Source organism: Homo sapiens, chromosome Y (assembly GCF_000001405.40).
Source record: "Homo sapiens chromosome Y, GRCh38.p14 Primary Assembly".
Classification (NCBI taxonomy): domain Eukaryota; kingdom Metazoa; phylum Chordata; class Mammalia; order Primates; family Hominidae; genus Homo; species Homo sapiens.
Genome location: NC_000024.10, coordinates 5579798 through 5606563, shown reverse-complemented (window position 1 = coordinate 5606563; position 26766 = coordinate 5579798). Strand labels below are relative to the sequence as shown.

Here is a 26766-nt window from a genome sequence, read left to right as displayed (position 1 = left end):
GACTGGATTAAGAAAATGTGGCACATATACACCATGGAATACTATGCAGCCATAAAAAATGATGAGTTCATATCCTTTGTAGGGACATGGATGAAATTGGAAACCATCATTCTCAGTAAACTATCGCAAGAACAAAAAACCAAACACCGCATATTCTCACTCATAGCTGGGAATTGAACAATGAGATCACATGGACACAGGAAGGGGAATATCACACTCTGGGGACTGTGGTGGGGTCGGGGGAGTGGGGAGGGATAGCATTGGGAGATATACCTAATGCTAGATGACACATTAGTGGGTGCAGCGCACCAGCATGGCACATGTATACATATGTAACTAACCTGCACAATGTGCACATGTACCCTAAAACTTAGAGTATAATAAAAAAAAATAAAAAATAAAAAATAAAAAATAAAAAAATAATAACGGGCTCTCAAGTATGTTTTATAAAGATGTTTGCATATTCTCAAGCTTTATCTCAGTTTTAAACTGTCACTCAGTTATGTGGTAGATAAATTTAAGAAATGCACAGCAGGCTTGTTGGAAAATGAAAGAAGAGATTATCATAAGGAACAGAAAGAAAAAGTTTAGGAAATTTTGTTCCAATTATCTATAAAAATTAGTCCCACTAATGCTTGTTTCATAAGTTCTATTTGTCATCAAGCACCTATCTCTTCTGAATTTTCACATATGTGTAGTCAGCACTAATGATCTCGACAAAGTACATTCCATTCCTTTTTGTACACAGAGATGGATCTGAAACACACTTTCCCACAATTGTGCACCCAGCTGGGGGAGAATTTTGCTACCTCAATTTCTAATCAATGACATAATGATAGTTTTACTTCAGCTCAGTAATGCACAAAAAATACAGCTTTCTCCAAAGCAAACATGTTTTACTATGAAAAATTGTGAGAGAGAACAAAATAAAATGATTATGTGACATAAAAATGTGCATAGAAATTTATTTGAATACTTCATATCTAGCTACTCAGATGTGAAGATAATATCATAATAAAGGTTGTTATGCTGGAAAATGCAAATTCAAACTAATTGAATTACAGCCACTTGTTTGTCACAGCCACTGATATAAAAATATTGTCTCCTAATATAATGTGGGTTACATCAAAGTTTAAGTGGCTCATTACTTTATTGTAGAAATGTAGTTTCTAATTCTTCAAATTGTACCCAGAGGCTCAGAGCCAATTAGCACAAAAAATAATAAATACAGAAAATGTAAAAATTGAAAGCAAATTAATCATAGCTCACAGTAGTTCTTATAAGCAGCTAAAATAATGTAAGTTTGATGATAAAATGTAAACTTTGAAAGAGTATGACTTGTCACCATTAAAGACTACAGTTTTCCGATTAGTGCATATTTGCCTATATTAAATTCAAAACCAGGGAGCTTCCTGCCAGCTATTGCCAACATAAACCATATTTTTGTGCTATAAATAATTTGGGACTTCTTGATATCCCATAATATTATTCAGCTTTAAAAAAGGATAAACTACCATTTGTAATAACAGAGATGAGTCTAGAGGACATTATCCTAAGTGAAATAAGCCAAACATAGAAAGAAAAATACTGCATGATCTCAATGATATTTAATATCTAAAACTTAGTTAAATACATAGAAATAAACAGTAGAACAGTGGTTATCAGGCGTAAGGAGAGGAAAAAAATGGGGAGAAATTGGTCACAGAGTAAAAAGTTGCAGCTATGTAGGATGAATAGGTCTAGAGTTATAATGATGTACAGCATGAGGTCTATAGTTAATATTATTGTATAGTATACAAAAAGTTTACTAAGAGAGTAGATTTTAAGCGCTCTTACTATTTAAAAAATGGTAGCTATGGTATGTGATGGGTAGGTTAATGTTTTTGTCTGACTGTAGTGATCTTTTTACTACGCAGAGGTGTACAAAAACATCACGTTGAACACCTTAAATATAGACAATAAAAATAAATACATAAATACACAACTAAAAATAGAGACTGAATACAAGATATCAACAAGCCAAATCTCTTGTATAAAGCTGTTAGGACTATACAACATACTTCTGGAAATGCAATACCGGGAGGAATGCACTATACTTGCTCAATTTCACTTCTTCATAATTTTACGAGGGACCTTGGAATTTTCAAAGTGCGATTTATATGTAGTATGCATTCTCTTTCTCCTTGCTGTCTTTCTCCTCCTCTTTCCCTTTTAAACTACTTTAATGAAATTTGAACTACGATTCTGGGAATAACAGTTAAGCCATATTTTTAAAATGAATATGAATAGACAAAATATGGTCACTCATATTTTACCTTTCTTCCTTTTGAAAGTTAGACCTGTTTCAGTTCATATGAAAATAGATCACAAAACAGACCACAAGACAAGCTTAACAAGAGTCTGCTTAAGTATGTGCCTTGTTTTTTCTAGTTGACCTTTTCGTAGTTAATTATAGTCATTTGGCTGTCAAATTCTCAGCTTAGGATTCCCTACGATCTGCACCAAAACTCACAGTTGTCATTAATTGTTCTTCCATTTGTCATTTCACTAAATGTCCTAAGGACCAAATGCCCGCTTGCTTGCTTGCTTGCTTTCTCTCTCTCTCTTTCTTTCTCTTTCTTTTCTTTCTTTCTTTCTTTTCTTTCTTTCTTTCTTTCTTTCTTTCTTTCTTTCTTTCTTTCTTTCTTTCTTTCTTTCTTTCTTTCTTTTTCTTTCTTTCTCTCTTTCTCTCTTTCTTTCTTTCTTTCTTTTTCTCTTAGAACAAGGTCTCCTGGGCACGCATGATAGTGAGACAGGGCACAAAAGTTCAGTGTCACTGTTCATGCCATTTCCATTCTGTGTATTACATAGAGAACCACGGTCTCTGGACTCTCTTTCTGACATCTGGCTTAAGTTCTACTGATGACAGGTTCATTGTAAATGCGAAGATCTTTCAGGATCATCGATACAGGATGTAGCATGTTATTTCCTAGATGCGCATAACTTCATCCTGCATCCAGATTCACAGTGTAGGTTTTGTTCATTGTAAATGCCTATTTCTGACATAAACTTGACAGCTTCATCACAATAAATGCAAGGAAGAAAAATAGCGCAGAATATGTGACGTAAAGATATGTGGAGGGAAAAACCTGTAGAAATTTAGGAAATACAAATTATATTTTAAGTTTTATTGTTACAAATCATATAATTAGTTGATCTACTCCAAAAATAATTCATGTCCTTACCTCTCTACTAACTTGACTCTGATGTTCTCATTACTCTTTCAGGACAAGGATCTCTCCTATCTCTTTTGGGCAAGTTCTTAGCATTGGAAGTACTAAGAATGTATTGACTATTCTTTCATCTACTAGCATCAGTTATAAACTATTATGTTTATGTATCAGGAAAACTTTTTTCTGCTTTTTTACAAGAAGAAGGGTTATATTGCTTTACTATGCTTACAAAGTTGTATATCTTTCTGCCTTGAATATCAATTTTATTTGCAAAAACTATTATGTCGTTATTGTTGTTTTTGTTCTTAGTGTTATTATTATTATATAATTATAGATGTTAAAAATAACATACCAGAATTAATTATTTGTTGGGTCCAAGTAAGATCATGTTGTTTAGTAAAGTGGCTGATGTGATAATATTAGCAATTTAATGGATATATATATATATATGTGTAAGTATAAATTTTTATATATATGTGTATATATAAAAATTTATATATATATACAAATTGTGTGGCATAATTCCTCTTATTTTCAAAAATGAAATAGGTAAAACTGATTAAAAAGGTGGAGAGGTAGATGGTTTAGGAATATTTTTGATGGTAAGAACAGAAGAGAGTGAGAAAGAAGAGATATATTATTATGTCCTCTGTTGAGCTGCATGTGGATCTGAAGGGGAAAAAAAAAGCAGGAGTAGGGATACATGCAGAAAATGACCAAATAAACTCACAAAACTTGGCTCTGCCCAAGAAGAAAAATACAGAAATATCATGAGAGAAGAGATAAGGGATAAATAAATTCTGTGGTAAATGAATATGCTAGCGTAAATATGCCCGAGTTTATAGGTGTATGTCTCTAAGTAGCCATTCTCTTCCCCAAGCCTAATTAGTTATTTAAGCCTGTGGCAAACATTTCGGCTCAGAGCTCATAGTGGGTGCCTTTCACCCACCTATAATGCCAGAAATATACCTCCATGCCTTGTTTTCTTTTTTTGGACATAGGAGTAAAGCAGAAGAGGTCAAAAGTGAGTGAAATACCTCATTCACATCTAGATTTCTGGTTGTATGATACCATCATAACTATACTTTAAAAAATGTCATTCTATTGTGATACTAAAAGTTAAATTAACACGGGTCCTGTGTTTACAGGCTAGAAGTCATCAGAATGGATACAAAACTATGCTTTAAAGAGCATATTTTAAAATGCTTGGTAAATGTGGGTGTATACCCACATTCAGAGTATAGGTGCATCTGGCCATTTGGAACAGGTACAATTTAGCTTGTGCATGAAGACACCCCCACAAAGCTGCAGGTGTCACTTTCTAGAAAGTTGAGCTGGAATACGTGATTTCAAATTGCCATCCTGAAACTTCTTTATATCACTACTGCTTATTTTCACCTCTCTTCCTGTTTATGTAATGCTAGAATCCAGAGGAACCCAAATATCATGGCTTTTGAAACAATTGAAATTCCCTCAGATCAGAATTTGCATGGTATATGCCTCTCCTTGGCAATAAGGGTTTTGTTGTATTTATATTGAGACTAATTCAACTTTTTCTGCAGGCCAGATTGAAACTATTTTGAATACAGAATTTAGAATACAAACAACAACTTTCTCAAGCTTGCCTGAGTCTAATAGATAGAGGTATAAATATATAATAACACATACAGGTATATAATAAAAATATATATAATTACTAATTTGAGTTTTCCAGTAGCTAATTAGCTAAAAAAATTCTACCTTAGTTATCATGTCCAGGTCTTGTATATATTTGTAAGATACCTAGATCAATTAGACTTTACTAAGGGAATAGACAAATGATTGCTACATTAAGTAGAAATTCACTGAATGAATATTTATTAAAAACCTTCTATGTGCTAGATATTGTTGAAGGAACTACAGAAACACAAGTGAACAACTCAGACAAGACTGCTGCCATCATAGAGCTTACATTCTAGTGAGCTTACATTCAAGTTATTCTAGAAAAATAAATATTTGTTAATTCTCAAGACACTGAACAAAACTTTCCCAAGTATACAGTCCTCCTGTCATTTCTTATAATCTGATGATGCGCTCTCACTTCACAAAGATGATACTGATGTTGAGAGGTTAACAAAAGATATCATTATGCTATATGATTCTAATAAAACATTATCCAAGTCCAGGAGTGGTGGCATATGCCTATAGTCACAGCTACTGGGAAGGCTGAGGCAGGAGGATCACTTGAGCCCAGCAGTTCTAGGCTACAGTGAGCCATGATTGTGCCACTGCACTGCTGGGCAACAGAGTGAGATGCCTTCTGGTATATATCTACCTTTTCGTGATATATAGAATTTGAAATTAATTGGAAGCCAATTCAATCACACCATTGTAGGGTATTCATCAAAGGATAAAGTATTGTTGTCAGTGGTGTGTACACATTATTAGTTTGCCAATATTATGGATTCACAGACAAAAATGTTAGGCCTCTTAGTTAAGAGACCTATTCTAAATACCCCTCTTATTTCTCCAGAGGTGAAAACCCTTTCTATACCTCCATCTTCCCTTACTATATTATGTTAAAATTATCTATTTATGAACCTAAATATTTCCCGGAATCAGATTGCAGTATACTTATTTCTGAAGCCCAGCTCCTACCACAAGGCCTGACACAGAGTAAAGGCTCAGAATTTCTAATGGAAGAATTATTTAACAACCGTACTGTTTTTTTTAATGAGGATTTAAGTACCATTAAGTAAATAGTGTAATATAAAATCATCTGGAACTTTTTGTTTTAGAATCTGAAGAAATTTAGGATTCAGGGATGTTAACTGAACAACAGAATGACAGTATTAAGTTTGTAAAGTTTAAAAAACTAAAAACATTAAGTATATCTCTCTAGTCCTTTCTTACATCCTTTCTGAAATGTTAATAGTCTAATCCAATTGGGAAGTTGTGTGTGTTTTGTTTTCAAGTTCAAATTAAACAAAAAAGTAGAAAGCATATTTCTCAGAGTTCAGCCTGGCCAACATGGTGAAACCCCCATCCTACTAAAAATACAAAAATTAGCCAGGCGTGGTGGTGCATGCCTGTAATCCCATCTACTCTGGAGGCCAAGGCAGGAGAATTGCTTGAATCCAGGAGGCGGAGGATGCAGTGAGCCGAGATCATGCCATTGCATTGTAGCCTGGACGACAGAGTGAAACTCTGTCTCAAAAAAAAAAAAAAAAAAAAAAAAAAGCATATTTCTCAGAGATAATAAAAAACTATATATTTGTCATGTCAGTTAAGCTTTGCTAAGAAAAGCACTTTATCTATAATCATGGAGTTCTGTGGCTTCACAATGTAATACTTCAATTTAAAATTTAACAAAGTATTATATGACACTTGGAAAAGTGCAATACATTATCTCTAAAAAGATATACTAAAATCCTTCTTTGACAAGATGATGATCTTACCTCTGCTTAATATATGCTAAAAATGTTGTTCTCAAATTGTACCTTGATTGGGTGAGTGATAATAAAAAATCAGAAATATTTGGTAAGTTTATTTGCTTATATCAATATTTGGCAAGCAAAATAGCTCTCCTGGAAATATATGGAATGGATACAGCGAGAAAATACATCAATTATTAATTATGATGCAATTGTAGTTGGAGCATAATGGATAGAGTTAGTACATTTTATTCTAAAAAGAAATTTAAAAATAGAAGTGTATAGATATTTTAAATTGTGACTTGTGAGAGTCAATTTACTTTTTCACATCTTTGCATTTATGTCAATGATTTTTACTTTTAATGACTTTGCAGTCATTTATTGCAATGAGAAACCAATATATATTGAGCATTTGTGATATAAGTGTTTCACAAATGTTTGTTCTAACACATTACTATTGCACATTTTCAGATGAAAAAATCGAAACTATTAGACGTTCAAACTATAAAAAACTAATGGGGAATAAATAAGGGTCACATGTGTCCTGCATATTATTTTATATATTTATATAGGCTTATTTTCATGAAAGCCTTCATTTTCAACCATAATGCAAGTGTTCATAAATAAGATTGTAAAAAATGTACAACTTTCTATGTTAAATATAATGCCTTTTGTACCATTCAATCAGTGAATCTCACTCACCTCCACCGTCCAGTTAACAGTTAAAATAGATAATTTACATTTTCTTATTGTTTGGGTATTTGGGGGAGTTACTGTTATGTTACATAATAACAACAGCCATCAAAATAATTCATGTTTCTTGATGTATAAATAGCTAGCACTTAATCTCTATACTCTGTTCTGTATTCTGATAGTATTTTTCAATCTGATAATCTATTATAGTACAAGGAAAGGCAGTCCCAGAAGGCAAGCTTTGACCCTGTGTTCTACTACATAAAAAATTAATGCTCAGACTCACCGTCCAACCCAGCTTTAATAAAGCTACCCAAATTCTCTTGGCTGAATCTTTGGCAGGGTGATATCAATCAAAGTACTCAGTTTTGTATTTGCTAATTCAATAGGCAGGCTGAAGAGGCTTTCAGCTCTACATTTTCAGCTCTACATTTAGTAACACTTTTTACATATTTTCAATTTTTGCTGTGTTGACAGAAAAAAATGAGTTTCGAGAACTACAAGATGTTCTTTTCTAGAAGAAATGTTTCTTCTAAGTTTAACATAACTGGCCATTTCATCAATCTTTCTATTATTATGCAAGGCTATATCTTAAAGAAAAATAATATTATCTTTATTATCACAAGTAACTGAAATTTCATTGATTACTCAAAATAATACATCGACTCAGATAGATTGCTTGTCCTTTCAGACCTTAAAGATAGCTTCTAATTGTGATGAGCAATTATGTCATCTTGTTACATTATTATAAAGGCCAAATTATTCTTCATTGTAAATGTGCTTCTTATGATGTGTAAAAACATGTGAACATTTTTACAAAATAGATGAAGCCTTCCTGATATTTTCCTACGTCATTATTCTTATCATTAATTACTAATGTTTCTGGGGTAAATACAGTATTATATATTTATGTTAGACATCTTTTTAAATATACTTAAAAACTTGAATTTAAATATACTTAAAAATTTGAGCCATATAAACAATGAAAGATTGCTCCAAATATGATTGCCTATATTTATAATTTTTGCTACAATAGTAATTATTGAAATAACTATGAAATCTTATTGTCTGAAAAATCTCAGACCTCATTTTATATGTAAATACAAACAAATATGTATTAATAAATGTATGAAAATGAATATGTATAATTAATTTTTAAAGAAACAATTTCAAAAATTTATATTGGTCTTTGATAGAAATCAGTTTTAATACAATTTAAGAATATTCATCTAAAGTCTTAATTTATACTCATCCTTTTTTATGTTTCCTCCTCATTTTATACAGCAATCACATTAAAAAAAATTTTTTACATGAATAAGTTCTTTAGTGGTGATTTCTGAGATTTTGGTGCACCTATCACCCAAGCAGTGTATGCTGTACTCAATATGTAGTCTTTTATTTCTCACCCCTCTCCTACCCTTTCCCCCAAGTCCCCAAAGTCCATTGTATCATTCTTATGTCTTTGCGTCCTCATAGCTTAGCTGCCACTTATGAGTGAGAACATATGAGGTTTGATTTTCAATTGCTGAGTTACTTCACTTAGAATAATGGTCTCCAATTCCATCCAGGCTGCTGCAAATGCCATTATTTTGTTCCTTTTTATGCCTGAGTAGTGTTCCATGGTATGTACATATATATATATGATACCACCTTATTCTGGCAAACATGGCCATAATGAAAAAATAATAAATTAATAGATGTTGGCATGGATGTGGTGAAAAGGGAACACTTTTACACTGCTGAAGGGAATCTAAATTAGTACAACCCCTTTGAGAAACAGTATGGAGATGTCTTAAAGAACTAAAAGTAGATGTACCATTCGATCTAGCATATATATATACGTATATATATATACACACACATATATATGTATATATATACGTATATATATACACACATATATATACGTATATATATACACACATATATACATACGTATATATACATATATACATATATATACACATATATATACATATATATACACTTACACACACACACAGATTTTCTTTATTCACTCATTGTTTGCTGGGCATTTGGGCTGGTTCCACATTTTCACAATTGTGAATTGTGCTGCTATAAACATGCCTGTGCAAGTATCCTTTTCATATAATGACATTTTTTCCTCTGGGTAGATATCCAGTAGTGGGATTGCTGGATCAAATGTGACAAGATATATGTATGACAAAGTCATTTTTCTTCCCATGTTCTTTCACAATGAAACATATTTACGTTAAATGAATGGCATCATTAAACTACCAAATCTAAAATAAACTATTGTTTGTTTCGGAATTTGTATAATGAACTTTAGCAAAATGTTGGACATAATTTTATAAATAAAATAAAGTACATAATTTATAACACATCGATATGTAATTTATGAAAATTGGGTGTAAATTCTTCATAAGTGAAAGATCATAGACCTTATTCAGAGTGTATTATTGGCTCTCCAGTTTCTTGAGCCTTCATAAGTCTTGAATAACTATTTTTCTTTTTATGTAATCTTATCTTCCCTTTCTATGCAAAATTATTTAAATGCATCATTAAAAGCAACATCTGTGTCACATGTGAAAAAGCTGACAAATTTTCCCATGCCAAGGTACAGTCTGTTGGCCAAGTGACAACACGAGGAACATTACCCACTGCAAGAACTGCCTTTGAGGAATAATTCAAATTCCAATGCATGGAGAAAATACCATTTTTCCAGTAATAGTTCACTACCTCTGACTATAGTGTAAAAGGTAATAAATTGTTTAGGTACAAGGAATGTCAAACAAGCCCGGTGTCACAATTGTGAGGCTTCTCTTTGTCTTTATGAAATTATTGTAACCAATGTCTCTGTGTTAATTTATAAATTCGTTGCATCACTTTTGTAAAAGAACAAAATATGGATTATCATGATGTCAAACATAAAGCTTACAAGAGCCAGATAATTTAGTTTGAGTTTAGATGTATGTCTTGTCATACGGCTTCAGGGAATTTAATAAATACCTTGGTTATCTTTGAGGGATAAAAAAGACAATTAATTTACATGTTTCACATCTTTCCTTGAAATACCTCATACACTAAAATGTATCAAAGGATAAGATTAGAAAGGAAATATTATGTTTAATGTTTGGTGTCAGATACTTAAGTTAGACACAATATACTGTTCCCATGGATGTTAAAATGCAAACATTGCTGTCAGATTCTTAAAGTGATTTTCCTCTTTATTACTAACAATCTGATTTAAACTATTTATAAGGAGTCTACACATAAAACTTTGAAGACTAAGAGAAAAACAAAGTAAAGGAAGAATGTTCCCAATAATTTTAATGAGACATGTGTGAGTAACAGATACTATAACCATAGATTTATATACATACATCTATTCATTTACATCAAGACTTCACTGAAGTTTTAAAATATGCTAAAAAAATGCAAGTTAAACATTGGTACCTGGCTTATCATCTTCACAGTTAGACTTTACTAAACAGAGAGGTTAGCTTAATTAAAGGTAAAAGACAAACCAGATTTAGTTATGGGAATGGAGACTTCAAGGTGTATTTAACAATTACAAGATAACTTGATAAACTCATAAAAAAATTATCTCCTCTGTTTCTTAAAAGTGGCTGAAAATACTAATAATGATAAAAGAACAGAATTATGCACACAGCTGTATTTTCTAATTCATAGAAAATTATTTCACAGGTTAATGAAAACAAGCAGTGCCTCTTTTATTAATATTTGAAATAAAAACAAAATGAAATTGATTTTGCCTAAAAGCTAAGTGGGTAGCCAATAAAAGTTCAATCTAGAAAAAAAATAATGGAAAAATAAGAATGCTATTATTGTATTAGCATAATATTTAACATCTACGATGTCTAAGGGGCAGTGCTAAATTATTTGTGATACTTGCTATTGATATTTATATTTTACAAATGAGTAAACAGACTTTAAGAGGTTAAATGATTGGAGCTGAGCAAGATGGCCAACTAGAAGCAGCCAGGTGGAACGGCTGCCACTGAGGGATCCTGACAGCTGCTGCACTCCTAACAGATCTTCAGAGGAAAGGCACTGAGAGTGGACAAAGGGAAGACAAAAATGGGCTGAAGAGGGAGGAAGCTGGGAATACTGCAAGGGGCTACTGTGCAGCAGGACTCGTTCCTGGCCCCCAGTAACTCTAAGGGAACAGGTAAGTTGAACTGGCAAGGAGCAATTAGCACTCACCATGGACCTCTGGAATCCCAGCAGTAGGAAACCACTTGACTACCACAGACACTTGCGTTGGCAGAGAGAGCTGCTTAGAGAAGTAGTAAGGGCAGCCTTTCATCCAGTGAGGAGTGCAGAGGGTTTGGTGTGGGAGCGTCTGTAGCAGACCATGGTCAGGGACTCTCACCCCCGAGGCTTGACTTGCTCTAATAGGAGAATTTATCCCTAGAGGAACTGTCAGGCCTGAACTCTGCAGGCCCATCAGAAGGGGATGGTCCAACCTGCGCACCCCTTGGTCTGCTGGCCTGTCCCAGAGGCCCAGCCTGACTCTGCCTCTTTGCGGTGCAACCTCTGGTGCCCTGGGGACCCACATCATAGCTCCTGCACTGGTGGACTGCACCACACTGGCAGAGAGCTCCAGCAGAGCAAAGCCCATGGCCATGCACTAGCTCACACCCTCCCTCCCTCAACTGCATCTACCCTCAGGCCCACGGCCCTTCCCCATATTGCCTTGCTGGTGAGTGTGTGTGAGGTGGCTTTTGCATTCCGTGTCCCCTCGGTGTGTGTGTGTGGGGTGTGTGTGTGTGGGGTGTGTGTGTGTGTGAACCCTGCCCTTCCACTGCTGCCAGCATGAGTTCACTCCACCTCCTCTCTCCCCACTGTACTGTCATTGCAGTCAGAGCCTTGGTGGGCACAGAGCCCAGCAGCCCCACCTTTGCCAGGCCCCTGCCCCTGTGCCAATGCTATTTCCAGAGTGAAACCAGGAACAGAGAACAGCAGACCCTCACATTCCCTGAGTGGGGACCTCTGCCTGCATGAATGCACATAGAGGGTGCACAAAGACCTGCACCTGACAGCGTCCAGCCCTTGCGCTAAAACCACCACCAGTATGACCACATGCACAGTCACCAGAGGGGATCCCCATCCTAGAGAGCCATGCTGCCTCTGTCGCTGCTGTGAATGTGTGTAGGGAGACCAGTACCCCAATACCCACTAGGTGCCCTGCCACAGCCAACATGCAGGTACCACACAGTGCTGCCACTGTCACTGCTGCTGGCACATGCAAACAAGGACAGATCCCACTGCCACTGACCTACCAAATGTTTTGGCTGGCACCAGCCATCAAAGTGTAGTGATCAGTAGTCTGGGAGCATTTCAGCCTTCCGAGCACATTGGGTTCCTAACTTTGAGGAGCCAGAGAACAAAGACAGGGCCCAATACCAGTCTCCCAGAGTTACAGCACGTAGTATAGAAGTTGGGAGCAGAGACTTGGCCCCCCAAATTCTTCCAGAAATGAAGCCAGTTGACTGAACTAAGCTTGTACCACAACTAAACCCTCAAGGGCATCTAATAGGATTAAAAAAAAAAAACAAAAAACCTCACAAAACAGCAACTTCGAAGACTAAAGGAACATCAGCCCACAAAGACAAGAAAGAACAGTGCAAGAACTCTGACAACTCTAAAAGCCACAGTGTCTTCTTTCCTCCAAATGACCACACCAACTCTCTAGCAACGGTTCTTCACTGGGCTGAAAAAGCTGACATGACAGAAATTGAATTCAGAATATGAATAGAAACTAAGATCATTGAGATGCAGGAGTACATTGAAACCCAATTCAAAGAAGGTAAGAATCATAATAAAATGATGCAACAACTAACAAACAAAATAGGTCTTTATAGAAAATAATATAACTGAGCTCTCAGAGCTGAAAAACACACTACAAAAATTTCATAATGCAATCACAAGTATTAATAGCAGAATTGACCAAGCTGTGGAATGAATCTCAGAGTCTGCAGGTCGGCTTTCTAAAATAATACAGTCAGACAAGAATAGGGAAAAAAGAATTAAAAGGAATACATAAAACCTCCAAAAAAATGGAATTATGGAAAGAGAACAAATCTATGAAGCATTGTTGTCCCTGAAAAAGACGAGGAGAATGGAAGCAACTTTGAAAACATATTTCAGGATATCATCCATGGTCACTTCCCCAACCTAGTTATACAAGCCAAGAATCAAATTCAGGAAATTCAGAGAACCTCAGTAAGATACTTTACAAGAAGATCATTCCAAACACAATCATCAGATTCTCCAAGGTCAAAATAAAAAAAAAAAATTAAAGGCAACTAGAGAAGAGTCAGGTCACCTAAAAAGAGAACCCCATCATACAAACAGCAGACCTCTCAGCAGAAACCTCACAAGCCAGAAAAGATTGAGGGTCTATATTCAACATTCTTAAAGAAATTTCAACCCAGAGTTTCATATCTGGCCAAACTAAGCTTCCTAAATGAAGGAGAAATGACATTATCTTCAAACAAGCAAATGCTGAGGGAATTCATTACCAACCAACCTGCTTTACAAGAGCTTCTGATAGAAGCACTAAATATGGAAAGGAAAGGCAGTTACCAGCCACTACAAAAACATACTGAATTACACAGGCCAGTGACGCTATGAAGAACCACACAGACAAGTCTGCAGAATAACCAGCTAACATGATGATGATAGAATCAAATCCATACATATCAGTACTAACCTTGAACGTAAACAAGCTAAATGCTCTCAATTAAAAGGCACAGACTGTTAAGTTGCATAAAGAACCAAGACCCATTGTTATGCTGTCTTTGAGAGACACATCTCACATGCAGTGACACCCATGAGCTCAAAATAAAGGAATAGAAAAAAATATACAAACAAATGGAAAACAAAAAAGCAGGGATTTCAATCCTAATTTCAGAAAAAACATATTTTCAACCAACAAATATAGAAAAAAGCAAAGATGGGCATCACATAATGGTAAAGGGTTCAATTCAACAAGAAGAACTTACTGTCCTAAATATATATGCACCCAACACATTAGCACTCAGATTCATAAAACAAGTTCTTAGAGATCATCAAAGTGACTTAGACTCCCACAAAATAATAGTGGGAGATTTCAACACCCTTTGACAGTATTAGACAGATAATTCATGAAGATATTTAGGAACTAAACTCCGCACTGGACCAAATATACTTAATAGACATTTACAGAAATCTCTACCCAAATACCACAGAATGTACATTATTCTCAATGCCACTCAGCACATACTCTAAAATTGACCACATAATCGGACACAAAACACTCCTCAGCAAATGCAAAAGAACTGAAATAATAAGAATCACTCCCTCAGATCATTGCACTATCAAATTAGGAAGCAAGACTAAGAAAATTGCTCAAAACCATACAATTAAATGGAAATTGTATAATTTGCTCAGGTTGTGAATGACTTTTGGGTAAATAATGAAATTGAGGCAGAAATCAAGAAGTTATTTGAAACTCATAAGAACACAGATACAATATAGCAGAATCTCTGGGACACAACTAAGGCAGTGTTAAAGTGGAAATTTATAGCACTAAATACCCACATCTAAAAGTTAAAAAAATCTCAGTTGAACCACCTAACATCACAACTAAAGAAAACTAGAGAAGCAAGATCAAACCAAGCCCAAAGCTAGCAGAAGACAAGAAATAACCAAAATCAGAGCTGAACTGAAGGAAAATGAGACAGGAAAAAACATTCAAAAGATGAATGAATCTAGGAGGTTTTTTTTTTTAATTAGTGAAATAGATTGTGTAATAGTCCATTTTTACGTTGCTATAAAGAAATACTTGAGAGTGGGTAATTTTTAAAAGAAAGAAGTTTAATTGACTCGCAGTTCCACATGGCTGGGTAGGCCTCAGGAAACTTATAATCATAGCAGAAGGCAAAGGGGAAGGAAGTACCTTCTTCACAAGGTGGCAGGAGAAAGAACATGTGAAGGAGAAACTGTCAAACACTTATAAAACCATAAGATCTCGTGAGAACTCATTCATTATCACAAGGCCACCATGGGGGAAACTGCTCCTATGATCCAATCACCTCCTTCCCTTGACACATGGAGATTACATGTTCCTCCCTGGAAACATGGGGATTATAATTTGAGATGAGATTTTGAGGGGAACACAGAGCCAAACCATATCAGATTTCTAGGTACACTCATACAGAAAAAAAGGGAAAAGTTCCAAATAAACACAATTAGAAATGACAAAGAAGATATTACCACTGACCCCACAGAAATACAAATAATGATCACAGAAGATTAATGACCAGCAATAATACCCAAGCAATACTTCTAGTGCCTTGGGGTGAAATTCTGAGACTTGTTGGACTCAGGCTACAATCAGCACATTTCCTGCTGTGTGTGTAGGGGGCAAGACTCCCTCTGATTGAGAAATGAGGAGGGAAAAGGGAACTTTGTCTTGGACCTTAAGTCCTAGCTCACCACAGTGGAGTAGAGCACGAAGTGGACCCTTGAGGTCCCCATATCTAGGACATGGATGTTGGACAGCATTTCTGGACCTGCCCTGGGTGAGAGAGGAGCCCATTGTTCTGAAGGGTGAGTCCCAGGCCAGGTATCAATCATCACAAGCTGACTGAAGAGACTTTGGACCTAAACGAAACATCAGCAATAGCTTGGCAGTATTCTCCATGGCCTCATGTTGGCAGTGGCCACAGGGTGAAACTCCTCTACCTTTGGAAAAAGGAAAGAAGAGTGGGAAGGATTGCATCTTGTGGTTTGAGTGCCAGCTCAGTTGCTGTACAATAGAATACCACTTAGACATCTAAGGTATTTAATGCTAGTCTCTGGCTCCTGGATGGCACATCTGGACATACCTGGGGCCTGGGGAAATTCGCCATCTTGAAGGGAAGAACACAGGCCTGAAAGGCCTTACCAGCAGCTTACTGTAGAGCCCCAGGGCCTTGGGAAAACATAGGCAGTAGTCAAGTTGAGGTTGTATCAGGCCTTGAGTGAGGCCCAGTATTGTACTGGCATCGGGTCTGACCCAGCACAATCCTAGTAGTGGTGGTCACAGAGGTGCTTGTGTCATTCCACCAATAACTCCAGGCAGCTCAGAACAGAGAGCGAGAGAGAGACTCCATTTTTTTTTTTTTTTTGGAAGAAAGTAAGAAAAGAGAACAAGAGTTTTTGCCTGATAATCTACAGAATTCTTCTGGATGTTGTCCAAAACCACCAAGGCAGTACCTCTACAAGTCTGCAAGAACCACAGTTACTTAGTTCTTAAACTTAAAAAGTTGTCCTGGGCTTCGGGCTTCTTGCGTTCTCTAATACAGATATATTTTAGATCACAACATCAAAGTTCTTTGAAATATCTGGAAAGCCTTCCTGGGAAAGATGAGTACAAACAAGTCCCTACTGCAAAGATAACAATAAATACCTTATTCCTCAATGCCCAGACACAGATGAAAATCCATAAATATCAAGACTATCCAGGAAAACATGACCTTACCAAATAAACTAAATAAGGCACCAGGGACCAATCCTGGAGAAATAGAGATATGTGAACTTTCAGACAGAGAATTAAAAATAGCTGTTTTGAGGGAACTCAAAGAAATTCAATGATAACACAGAGAAGAAATTTAGAAGTCTGTTAGATAAATTTAACAAGGAGATTGAAATAATTAGAATGAATCAAGTAAAAATTCTGGTGCTGAAAAATGCAATTAACATACTGAAGAATGCATAAGAGTCTTTGTATTAGTCCATTCTCACACTGCTGATAAAGACACATACGAGACTAGGTAACTTACAAGGTAACAGAAGTTTAACCACAGTTCCATGTGGTTGGGGAGGCCTCAAAATCATGGTGGAAGGCAAGGAAGAGCAAAGTTACATCTCACATGGCAGCAGGAAAGAGAGAGCTTGTGTAGGGGAACTCTCCTTTATAAAACCATCAGATCTCATGAGACTCATTCAGTATCATGAGAACAGCATGGGAAAAGCCCATCCCCATGATTCAGTTACCTCCCTCTGGGTCCGTCCCACAACCCATGGGAATTATGGGAGCTACAATTCAAAATGAGATTTGGGTGGGGACACAGCCAAACAATATCAGTCTTTTAATAACAGAATTGATCAAGTAGAAGAAAGAATTAGTAAGCTTGAAGATAAGCTATTTGAAAATACACAGAAGTAAAGAAAAAAGAATAAAAGTAATGACATACAACTACAGAATCTAGATAACAGCCTCAAAAGAGCAAATCTAAGAGTAACTGGCCTTAAAGAGGAGGTAGAGAAAGAGATATGAGTAGGAAGTTTTATCAAAGAAATAATAAAAGAGAACTTCCAATACCTAGTGAAATATTATCAATATCCAAGTATAAGAAGCCCAAAGAACATCAAGGAGATTTAACCCAAAAGAGACTATCTCAAAGCATTTAATAATCAAACTCCCAAAGGTCAAAAATAAAGAAAGGATTATTTTAGAAAGAGCAGCAAGAGAAAACAAACAAATAACATACAATGGAGCACCAATACATCTGGCAGCACATTTCAGTGGAAACCTTACAGGGCATGAGAGAGTGGCATGACATATTTAAAGAAGTGCTGGAGAAAAAATACTTTCACTCTATAATAGTATATCTGGTGCAAATATCCTCTAAACATGAAGGAGAAATAAAGACTTCCCCCAAAAAACAAAAGCTGAAGGATTTTAACAACACCAGACCTGTCCTTCAGGAAATACTAAAGAGAGTGCCTCAATTAAAAAGAATAGAATGTTAATGAGCAACAAGAATTCATACAAAGGTACAAAACTGACTGGTAATAGTAAATACACAATAAATACAGAATATTATAACACTGTAACTTTGGTGTGTAAACTATTCTTATCATAAGTAGAAATATTAAAACAGGAACCAATAAAAAATAATAACTACAACTTTTCAAGACCTAGACAGTATAACAATATATAAATAAGAACAACAAAAGATTAAAAAGTAGGGTAATAAAATGTAGAGTGTTTATGAGTTTTCTCTACATTTTTATGTTTGTTTGTTTATACAGTGTTAAATTATTATTAGCTTAAAATAATGGGTTATAAGATAGTATTTGCAAGTTTCATGGTAACCTTAAATCAAAAAACAGATAACTGACTGACAAAAAATTTAAAAAAAAAACTAAATTGTATCACCAGAGAAAATCATCTTAACTAAAAGAAGAAAAAAGGAAGGAAAGAAGGAAGAGAAGGCCACAAAATGAACAGAAAACAAATAACAATATGGCAAGAATAAGCCCTTATTTGTTAATAATAACATTTAATGTAAAAACAACTAAATTCTCCAATCAAAAGGCATAGAGTGGATTAATGGATTAAAAAAACTATATAATCTATTGCCTACAAGAAATATACTTCACATTTAAAGGCACTCATACATTGCAAATAAACAGATGGTAAAAGATATTCCATGCCAATAAAAACTAAAAAAGAGTGGTAGTAGCTAGACTTATATCAGACAAATTATATTTCAATATAAAAACTATGAGACAAAGAAAGTCACTATATAATGATAAATGGGTCAATTCAGGAAAAGGATATAACAATTGTAAATATATATGTGCTCAATACTACAGCACTCAGATATATATAGCAAATATTATTGAGCCACAGATAGAGATAGGCCCCAATACAGTAATAGGTGGAGACTTAAACACCACACTTTCAGCACTGGACCTTTCAGACAGAAAATCAACAACAACAGCAACAGCAAAAAAAATTGAACTTAATCTTCACTATAGAACAAAAAAACCTAATAGTTACAGAAAATTTCACCCATCTGCTGCAGAATACACATTTTTCTCCTCAGCAAAGAGATCATTCTCAAGGAAAGGTCATATATTAGCTCAAAAAACAATTCTTAAAACATTCAAAAAAGTCAAAAATTATCAAGCACCTTCTCTCACCACAATGGACTAAAACTAGAAATTAATTACAAGAGGAATTTTGGAAACCATACACTCACATAGAAATTAAACAATATGCTGCTGAATGATCAGTATGTTAATGCAGAAATTAAAAAGAAATTTGAAAAAATTCTTGAAACAAATTATAATGGACACACAACATACTGAGCCCTATGGGATATAGCAATAGCAGTACTTAGAGGGAAGTTTATAGCTGTAAGTGCCTACACTAAAAAATGAGAAAAACTTCAAGTAAACAACCTAACGACGCATCTTAAACAACAGGAAAAGCAAGAGCAAACAAAATCCAATATTAATAGAAGAAAAAGAATAATAATAGAAGATAAATCAATGAAATCAAAACAAATAAATCAATACAAAAGATCAATGAAATAAAAAGGTTGTTTTGTTAAAAGTTAAACAAAATTGACAAGCCTTTAGCCAGACTAAGAGAAAAGAGAGAAGACCTGAATAAAACCAGAGTTGTAAAAGGAGACATTACAACTGATACCACAGGAATTCAAAAGATGATTAATGGCCATTATTAGCAACTATATGCCAATAAATGGAAAAAGCCAGAAGAAATTGACAAATCCTAGACACATATAGCCTATCAAGTTTAAACCATTAAGAAATCCAAAACCTGAACATATCCATAACAAATAATGAGCTCAAAGCCATAATAAATATCTTCCAGCAGAGAGGAAGTCAGACTATCTCTGTTTGCAGATGACATGACCCTATATCTAAAAAAAAAAACAAACAAAAAAAACATTTTTTCAGCCCCGAAGCTTCTGAAGCTGTTAAACAACTTCACCAAAGTCTCAGGACACAAAATCAATGTGCAAAAAGTGCTGGTATTCCTATACATCAACAACAGTTAAGCTGAGAGCCACAAACAGATGCCTATTCACATTTGCCACAAAAAGAATAAAATACCTTTGAATACAGCTAACCAGGGAGGTGAAAAATCTCTACAAGGAGAACTACAAGCCACGGCTCAGAGAAATCAGAGATGACACAAACAAATGGAAAAACATTTTATGCTCCTGGATAGAAATAATCAATATCATTAAAATGGTCATCCTGCCTAAAACAATGTATACATTCAATGCTATTCCTATTAAATTATCAATGACATTCTTCACAGAAATAAAATTTTAAAAAATTATTTAAAAATTTATATGGTACCAAAAATAGCCCTAATAGCCAAGGTAATCCTAAACAAAATGAACAAAGCCAGAGGTATCATACTACCTGACTTCAAACTATACTATACTACAGGATTATAGTAACCAGAATGGCATGGCACTGGTACAGGAACAGACACATAGGCAAATGGAATAGAATAGAGAACCCAGAAATAAGACCACACACCTACAACTCTCTGATTTTTGACAAACCTGACCAAAAAAAAAAAAAAAAAAAGAAGCTCTGAAGAAAGGATTTTCTATTCAATAAATGGTGTTGACATAACTGACATATGCAGAAGATTGAAACTGGACCCCTTCCTTACACTATATACAAAAATAAACTCAAGATGGATTAAAGACCTAAACATAAAACCCAAAACTATAAAATTCCTGGAAGATAACCTAGGCAGTATCATTCCGGATACAGGCGCTGGCAAAAGTTTCATAAAAAAAATTCCAAAAGCAATTGCAACAGAAGCAAAAATTGACAAATGAGATCTAAGTAAATGAAACGGCTGCTTCATAGCAAAAATAAACTATCAACAGAGTAAACAATCTATGGAATGACAGAAAATTTTTGGAAACTCTGTATCTGACAAAGGTCTAATATCCAGCATCTATAATGAACTTAAAAAAATTACAAAGAAAAAAAACAACTCCATTAAAAAGTGGCAAAATACATGAGCAGACACTTTTCAAAAGGAGACATACATGTGGTCAACAATCATATGAAAAGAGCTCAACAACATTGATTGTTAGAGAAATGCAAATCAAATCCACAATGAGATACTATCTCACACCAGTCAGAATGGCTACAAAAAAGTCAAATAGTAAGAAATCCTGGTGAGGTTGTAGAGAAACAGGAAAACTTATCCACCGGTGGTGAGAGCGTAAATTATTTCAGCCACTGTGGAAGACAGTGTGGCAATTACTCAAAGACCTAAAGACAGAAATAACATTTGACCCAGCAATCCCATTACTGGGAATATATCCAAAGGAATATTAATCATTCTATTATAAAGACACATGCATGCATATGTTCACTGCAGCACTACTTACAATAGCAAAGATATGATATCAACCTAAATGTCAATCAATTACAGACTGGGTAAAGAATATGTGGTACATATACACCATGGAATACTATGCAGCCATAAAAAAGAACAAGATTATGTCTTTTGCAGGAACATGAATTGAGCCTAAGGCCATTATTTTTACCAAAATAACACAGGGCCAGAAAACCAAATACCACATTTTCTCACTTATTAATGAGAGATAAATTATGAGAACACATGGGCACATAGAGGAGAACCACACACACTGGGGTCTCTTGGAGGATGGAGGGTGGGAGGAGAGAGAGGATCAGGAAAAACAACTAATGGGTGCTAGGCTTAAAACCTGGTTGATGAAACAAACTGTGCAACAAATCCCCATGACACAAGTTTACCTATGTAACAAACCTACACTTGTACCCCTGAACTTAAAAGTTAAAAAAAAAAAGAAAAAATATATCTTCCAGCAGAAAAATAGCTGAGGACCAGAGGGTTTCACTGCTGACTTCTAACGAATATTTAAGAAAGAACTAATACCAATTCTATTCAAACTATTCTAGAAAATAGAGAAGGAGGGAACACTACAAAACTTATTCTATGAGGCTAATATTACCCTGATACCAAAACCAACAACATATCAGAAAAAGCAAACAGGCCAATATCACTGATGAATATTGATGCAAAAATCTTCAACAAAATATTAGCAAACTGAATTCAACAACACATTGAAAACATCATTCATCATGACCAAGTGGGATTTAACCTAGAGATGCAAAGATGGCTCAATGTATGCAAATCAATCTATGTGATTCATCATATCAACAGACTAAAAGACAAAAATCATATGATTATTTCAATTGATGCTGAAAAATTACTTGATAAATTCAACATTCCTTCATTTAAAAAAATTCTCTAAGAATTGAGTATAGGATGAACATACCTCAATATAATAAAGGGCGTATACAACAGACCTACAGCTAGTATCATACTGAAAGGGGAAAAAACGAAAAGTGTTTTCTCTAAGATCTGGAACATGATAAGGAGGACCACTGTCACCAGTGTCATTCAACATAGTACTGGAAGTCCTAGCTAGAGCAATCAGACAAGAGAAAGAAATAAAGGGCATCCAAGTTGAAATGGAAGAAGTAAAATTGTTCTTGTTTGTTAATGATATGATATTATATTTAGAAAAACCTAAAGAGTCCACAAGAAAATGATTAGAACTGATAAACAAATTTAGTAATTTTGTATGTTGATTTCGTATCCAAAATCCAACAACATATCAGAAAAAGAAAACAGGCCAATATCACTGATGAATATTGATTTCATATCCAAAATCAACATACAAAAACCAGTAACATGTTTATGTGCCAACATTAAGGAATCAAGAAATTTATCCCATTTACAATAGCTACAAATAAAATAAAATATGATAAATTAATCAAGGAAGTGAAATTCTCTACAATGAACACTGTAAAACTTTGATGAAAGAAATTGAAGACACAAAAAATGAAAAGATATTACATGTATGTGGAAAAATAAATATTGTTAAGATATTCATACTCCCAAAGTAATCTACAGATTCAATGCAAACCCCTGTAAAATAATCACGACATTCTTCACATTAATTGAAAAAAAAATTCTAAAACTTATATGGAACCACAAAACACGCAGAATAGCCAAAGCTATCCTAAGCAAAAAAAAACTACATTGGAGAAATCACATTACCTGATGTCAAATTATACTACAGAGCTATACTAACCAAAATAGTATTGTACTGGCATAAAAACAGACATATAGACCAACGGAACAGAATAGAAAACCCAGAAATAAATTCATCTACAGTAAACTCATTTTCAACAAATGTTCCAAGAGTATACATTAGGGAAAGGACAGTTTCTTCAATCAATACTTCCTGGAAAACTGAAAACTGGATATCCATATGCAGAAGAATGAAACTAGACCGCTACCTCTTGCCATACACAAAAAAATCAAATCAATGCATATTAAAGACTTAACTCTAAGATTTCAAATTATGAAATTACTAGAAGAACACTTTGGGGAAACTCCTCAGGAAATCTGAGTGTGCGAAAACTCTTTGAGCATTATCCAACAGGCACAGGCAACCAAAGCAAAGATGGACAAATGAGATCACATTTCATTATTCAGATGATAGGCAGAAATGTATCATGGACATTAGAACTGATTATAGAAGAACAGAAGAAGTACCCCAACACAGTGTAAAAAGTCAAAAGCAACATTTTACATTTAAAATACCAAAAATTGATAAAGTATGTTGTTAATATTGCTAATATGTCAAAATTAAAGATTAAAGGTAAGTTTCTTCCTTACATAACAATTCAGGTTTATGACGGATTTCAGGAAAATTTTTTCTTTAAGTGCTCTTTCTATTTCATCAAAACATCAATGTATTATACATTACAGTTTAAGATAAAAGTGTATGAGTGAAATAAATTATTGTTATAAAGAACAGTGGAACAATAGGACAGAAACATCACCAAATATAAAGTGGACAACAAAGAAATGTGTGCATATGCACAATGAGTGCAGATATATTTGGAACATTCAATATATCCTGCAGCATTTTAAAATTTTATCAGCACAAAAAATATATATATTTTTCAACTGATTGCTTAAACTCCATGTTTTTAGAAATATTTTGTCTGTCAACCTTAACTTATCATAGGTTCCCATGTAATCCATGTGTTATAATTTGGCAAAGAAAATGCATATTACATATTATTTACAAATTCATAAACAATGTAAACTTTGTTAGTAATTTAGAAAACATATACAATTTATAGATCAAATTGGAATAGAATACAGAAAAATATAATTATATCTTTAATGGCTGCTCAAACAAAATACTGAAAATGCTTATACTATCAGAGGAGAGAAATGAATAATAAATTCATAGGTAATTTGAAAGTAACTACTTTAAGCCAAATAAATAACTATAGAGTCACATTTATTTTATTATCTAAAGATTGATGACACACAATTTAGAAAAAGCATTCAGATATATAAGATATCCAACTGACTGAATGCCCTTCCTAGATTTCAGATATTTTAAATGTATCAAAAATGTGTTTGAAGCAAACAGTTGATGTTTTATGAGTAGCAAAAAGGTAAACAGTTCTTAAACACAAATCAGCACTTCATTTTAAAATGAAACATGCAACATGGTGATGGTTTGTGTTGATTTCTACTGTACCTTTCTTTAGTCCAGGTATGAAAGCTAAAAAGAAATTTTAATAAAGTTAAACACAATAAATATTTTCTCTTATTTCTACAACATTATATTAGCATACCTAAATAAATATAATTTGTAAGGTATTGCAATATATTTTCTACTTCACTTTACAAAGAATGTGATAATTGAGACATAGTAGGACTGCTGCTCCTTCACATTTGTATTTTGTAATACATTTTTATAGAATTGGACCAAGCCTATGCAATATGTTGGCTTCCTGGGAAGTAATGATTGGTGCTTTCCACAAAGGAGATGTGTTATTAAACGTAACATTTTGCAGTAACTCAGTAGATTTTCTAGCTTCGTCGCCTGTGATGGCTAAGCACAGTCCTCTACTGACATACCAGTTTCTTTCACGCAACCTCCTACTATAAGTGTAGAGCAAGGAAAGACATTGTTTTTGACTTAACAGGTTGCTCTGTCCCCAAACTTCTGACATATAAAATAGTAATAGGAAAAACCCAAAATCAGCAGGCACTAGCATGAGAATGGCCCAGTAGAATTATTCTTATCATGGCTTAAGAAACTTTTTCTATAATACCATTGTCTTCACCTAAAATTTTATATTATTTCTCACAATTAGGACATAAGGGATTAGAGATTATTGTCATTATTTTCTAGATAAATTCAAGCCTTGCATTATTGACTTTCTTCAAAACACTGTGAAATCATGCTTGACCTGGAACAAGTAGCAAAGTCTATTTTTAAACAAAATAATTGTATGTTTATAAACACCCAAATATGTATTGATCTGGACAGATGACTCTCAAGTTTATTCATCACAAAATTTTAAAGCCAATATTAATAAATAATTTCCTGATCACATCTGCATTTTAGGAATTATTTAATAATATCCATTATGGATAAAAGCTTAAAGATAAACATTTTGAATTTGTTAAAAATCTATTTTGAATAAAATTAGAATATTATAAAACTGAAGACATGAAATTCTTAGATGGAATAAAGCAGAATAGAAAAATAGAGGTGAAAGTAATGTTTCTATGCACTAATAAGGATCAATAAAAGAGCATTGTACAACATTTTTAAGTGTCACTGACAAACAGCACATTTATTTCTCATTGCAAGATGTTTCATCTGTATGCAATGTAATTTAATGGTAATACAAGCTGAAGTATAAAATTTTTTTTAAATAGTGCTTTCATAAAACACTTTGGGGAGGATTGATCTTCTACATAGAATTTTGCAATTCCCCACACTTTAAATGAGGATTCTATTTCAATGATAAGAAACACACAAACACACACACACAGAATCACTCTAATTTTGTATTAATTAGAATTCATAATCAACTCGTAATATTTAAGTGTAGAGTTTTCAAATATACAAAACTCTAAAAAGAGAAAGACTGCTTTAAACAGAAAAGTAATAACGTACGTGCTTTTCATTTTTAAAGACTGCAATTTCAGTGTTGTCTAGAGCTTAGTGATAAAAATCCTTTCTAATTTGGTAACTAAAAAGGTCAAAAAAATAAGTAATGTAATGGGTCTGGACTTATTTCTAATAGTATGGAAGTACAAATAAAAGAAGCAAAACATGGGACGTGACAACAATAAAAAAGAAAACAAACACATTTTAACAACTTATTCAAGACTTTTAGTTCCCAAATTGAAAAGTGAAAATTGGTTTATAAACCACCAAAGTCAAATATTGATTAATTTTCCTTAAAATTCAGAACAATAAGCATATTCGGCTTAAAACTTTTAAGACTGAATGTGAAGAATTTCTCGAATTCATCACATGAGAAATGGTACAGAAAAGGAACCATTTTCCCACTGTAAGGGAGTATATATATATATCTATATATATCTTATATACTAACAACCACTAAGAAATGCATTCATTATAATTATTAGGACTTTTTTGTGTAAGCTAAAGGCCCATCTTGAAATGTATCTCTAAATCTCAGAGTAATTTTTAATTAAGGTTTAAAGGTTTATCATT

At 34.0% G+C, this 26766-nt stretch overlaps 1 protein-coding gene across 5 annotated transcripts in view; it reads right to left on the bottom strand.

Moving 5' to 3' along the window:
- Nucleotides 1–26766, bottom strand: part of PCDH11Y (protocadherin 11 Y-linked) — a 741933-nt gene that overhangs the window by 135665 nt on the left and 579502 nt on the right. For all 5 annotated transcript variants that reach the window (XM_017030079.2, XM_017030081.2, XM_017030080.2 and 2 more), the window contains one exon: nucleotides 24766–24789. In XM_017030079.2, the coding sequence (XP_016885568.1) occupies nucleotides 24766–24789 (24 nt within the window). The remainder of the gene's footprint in view (nucleotides 1–24765; nucleotides 24790–26766) is intronic.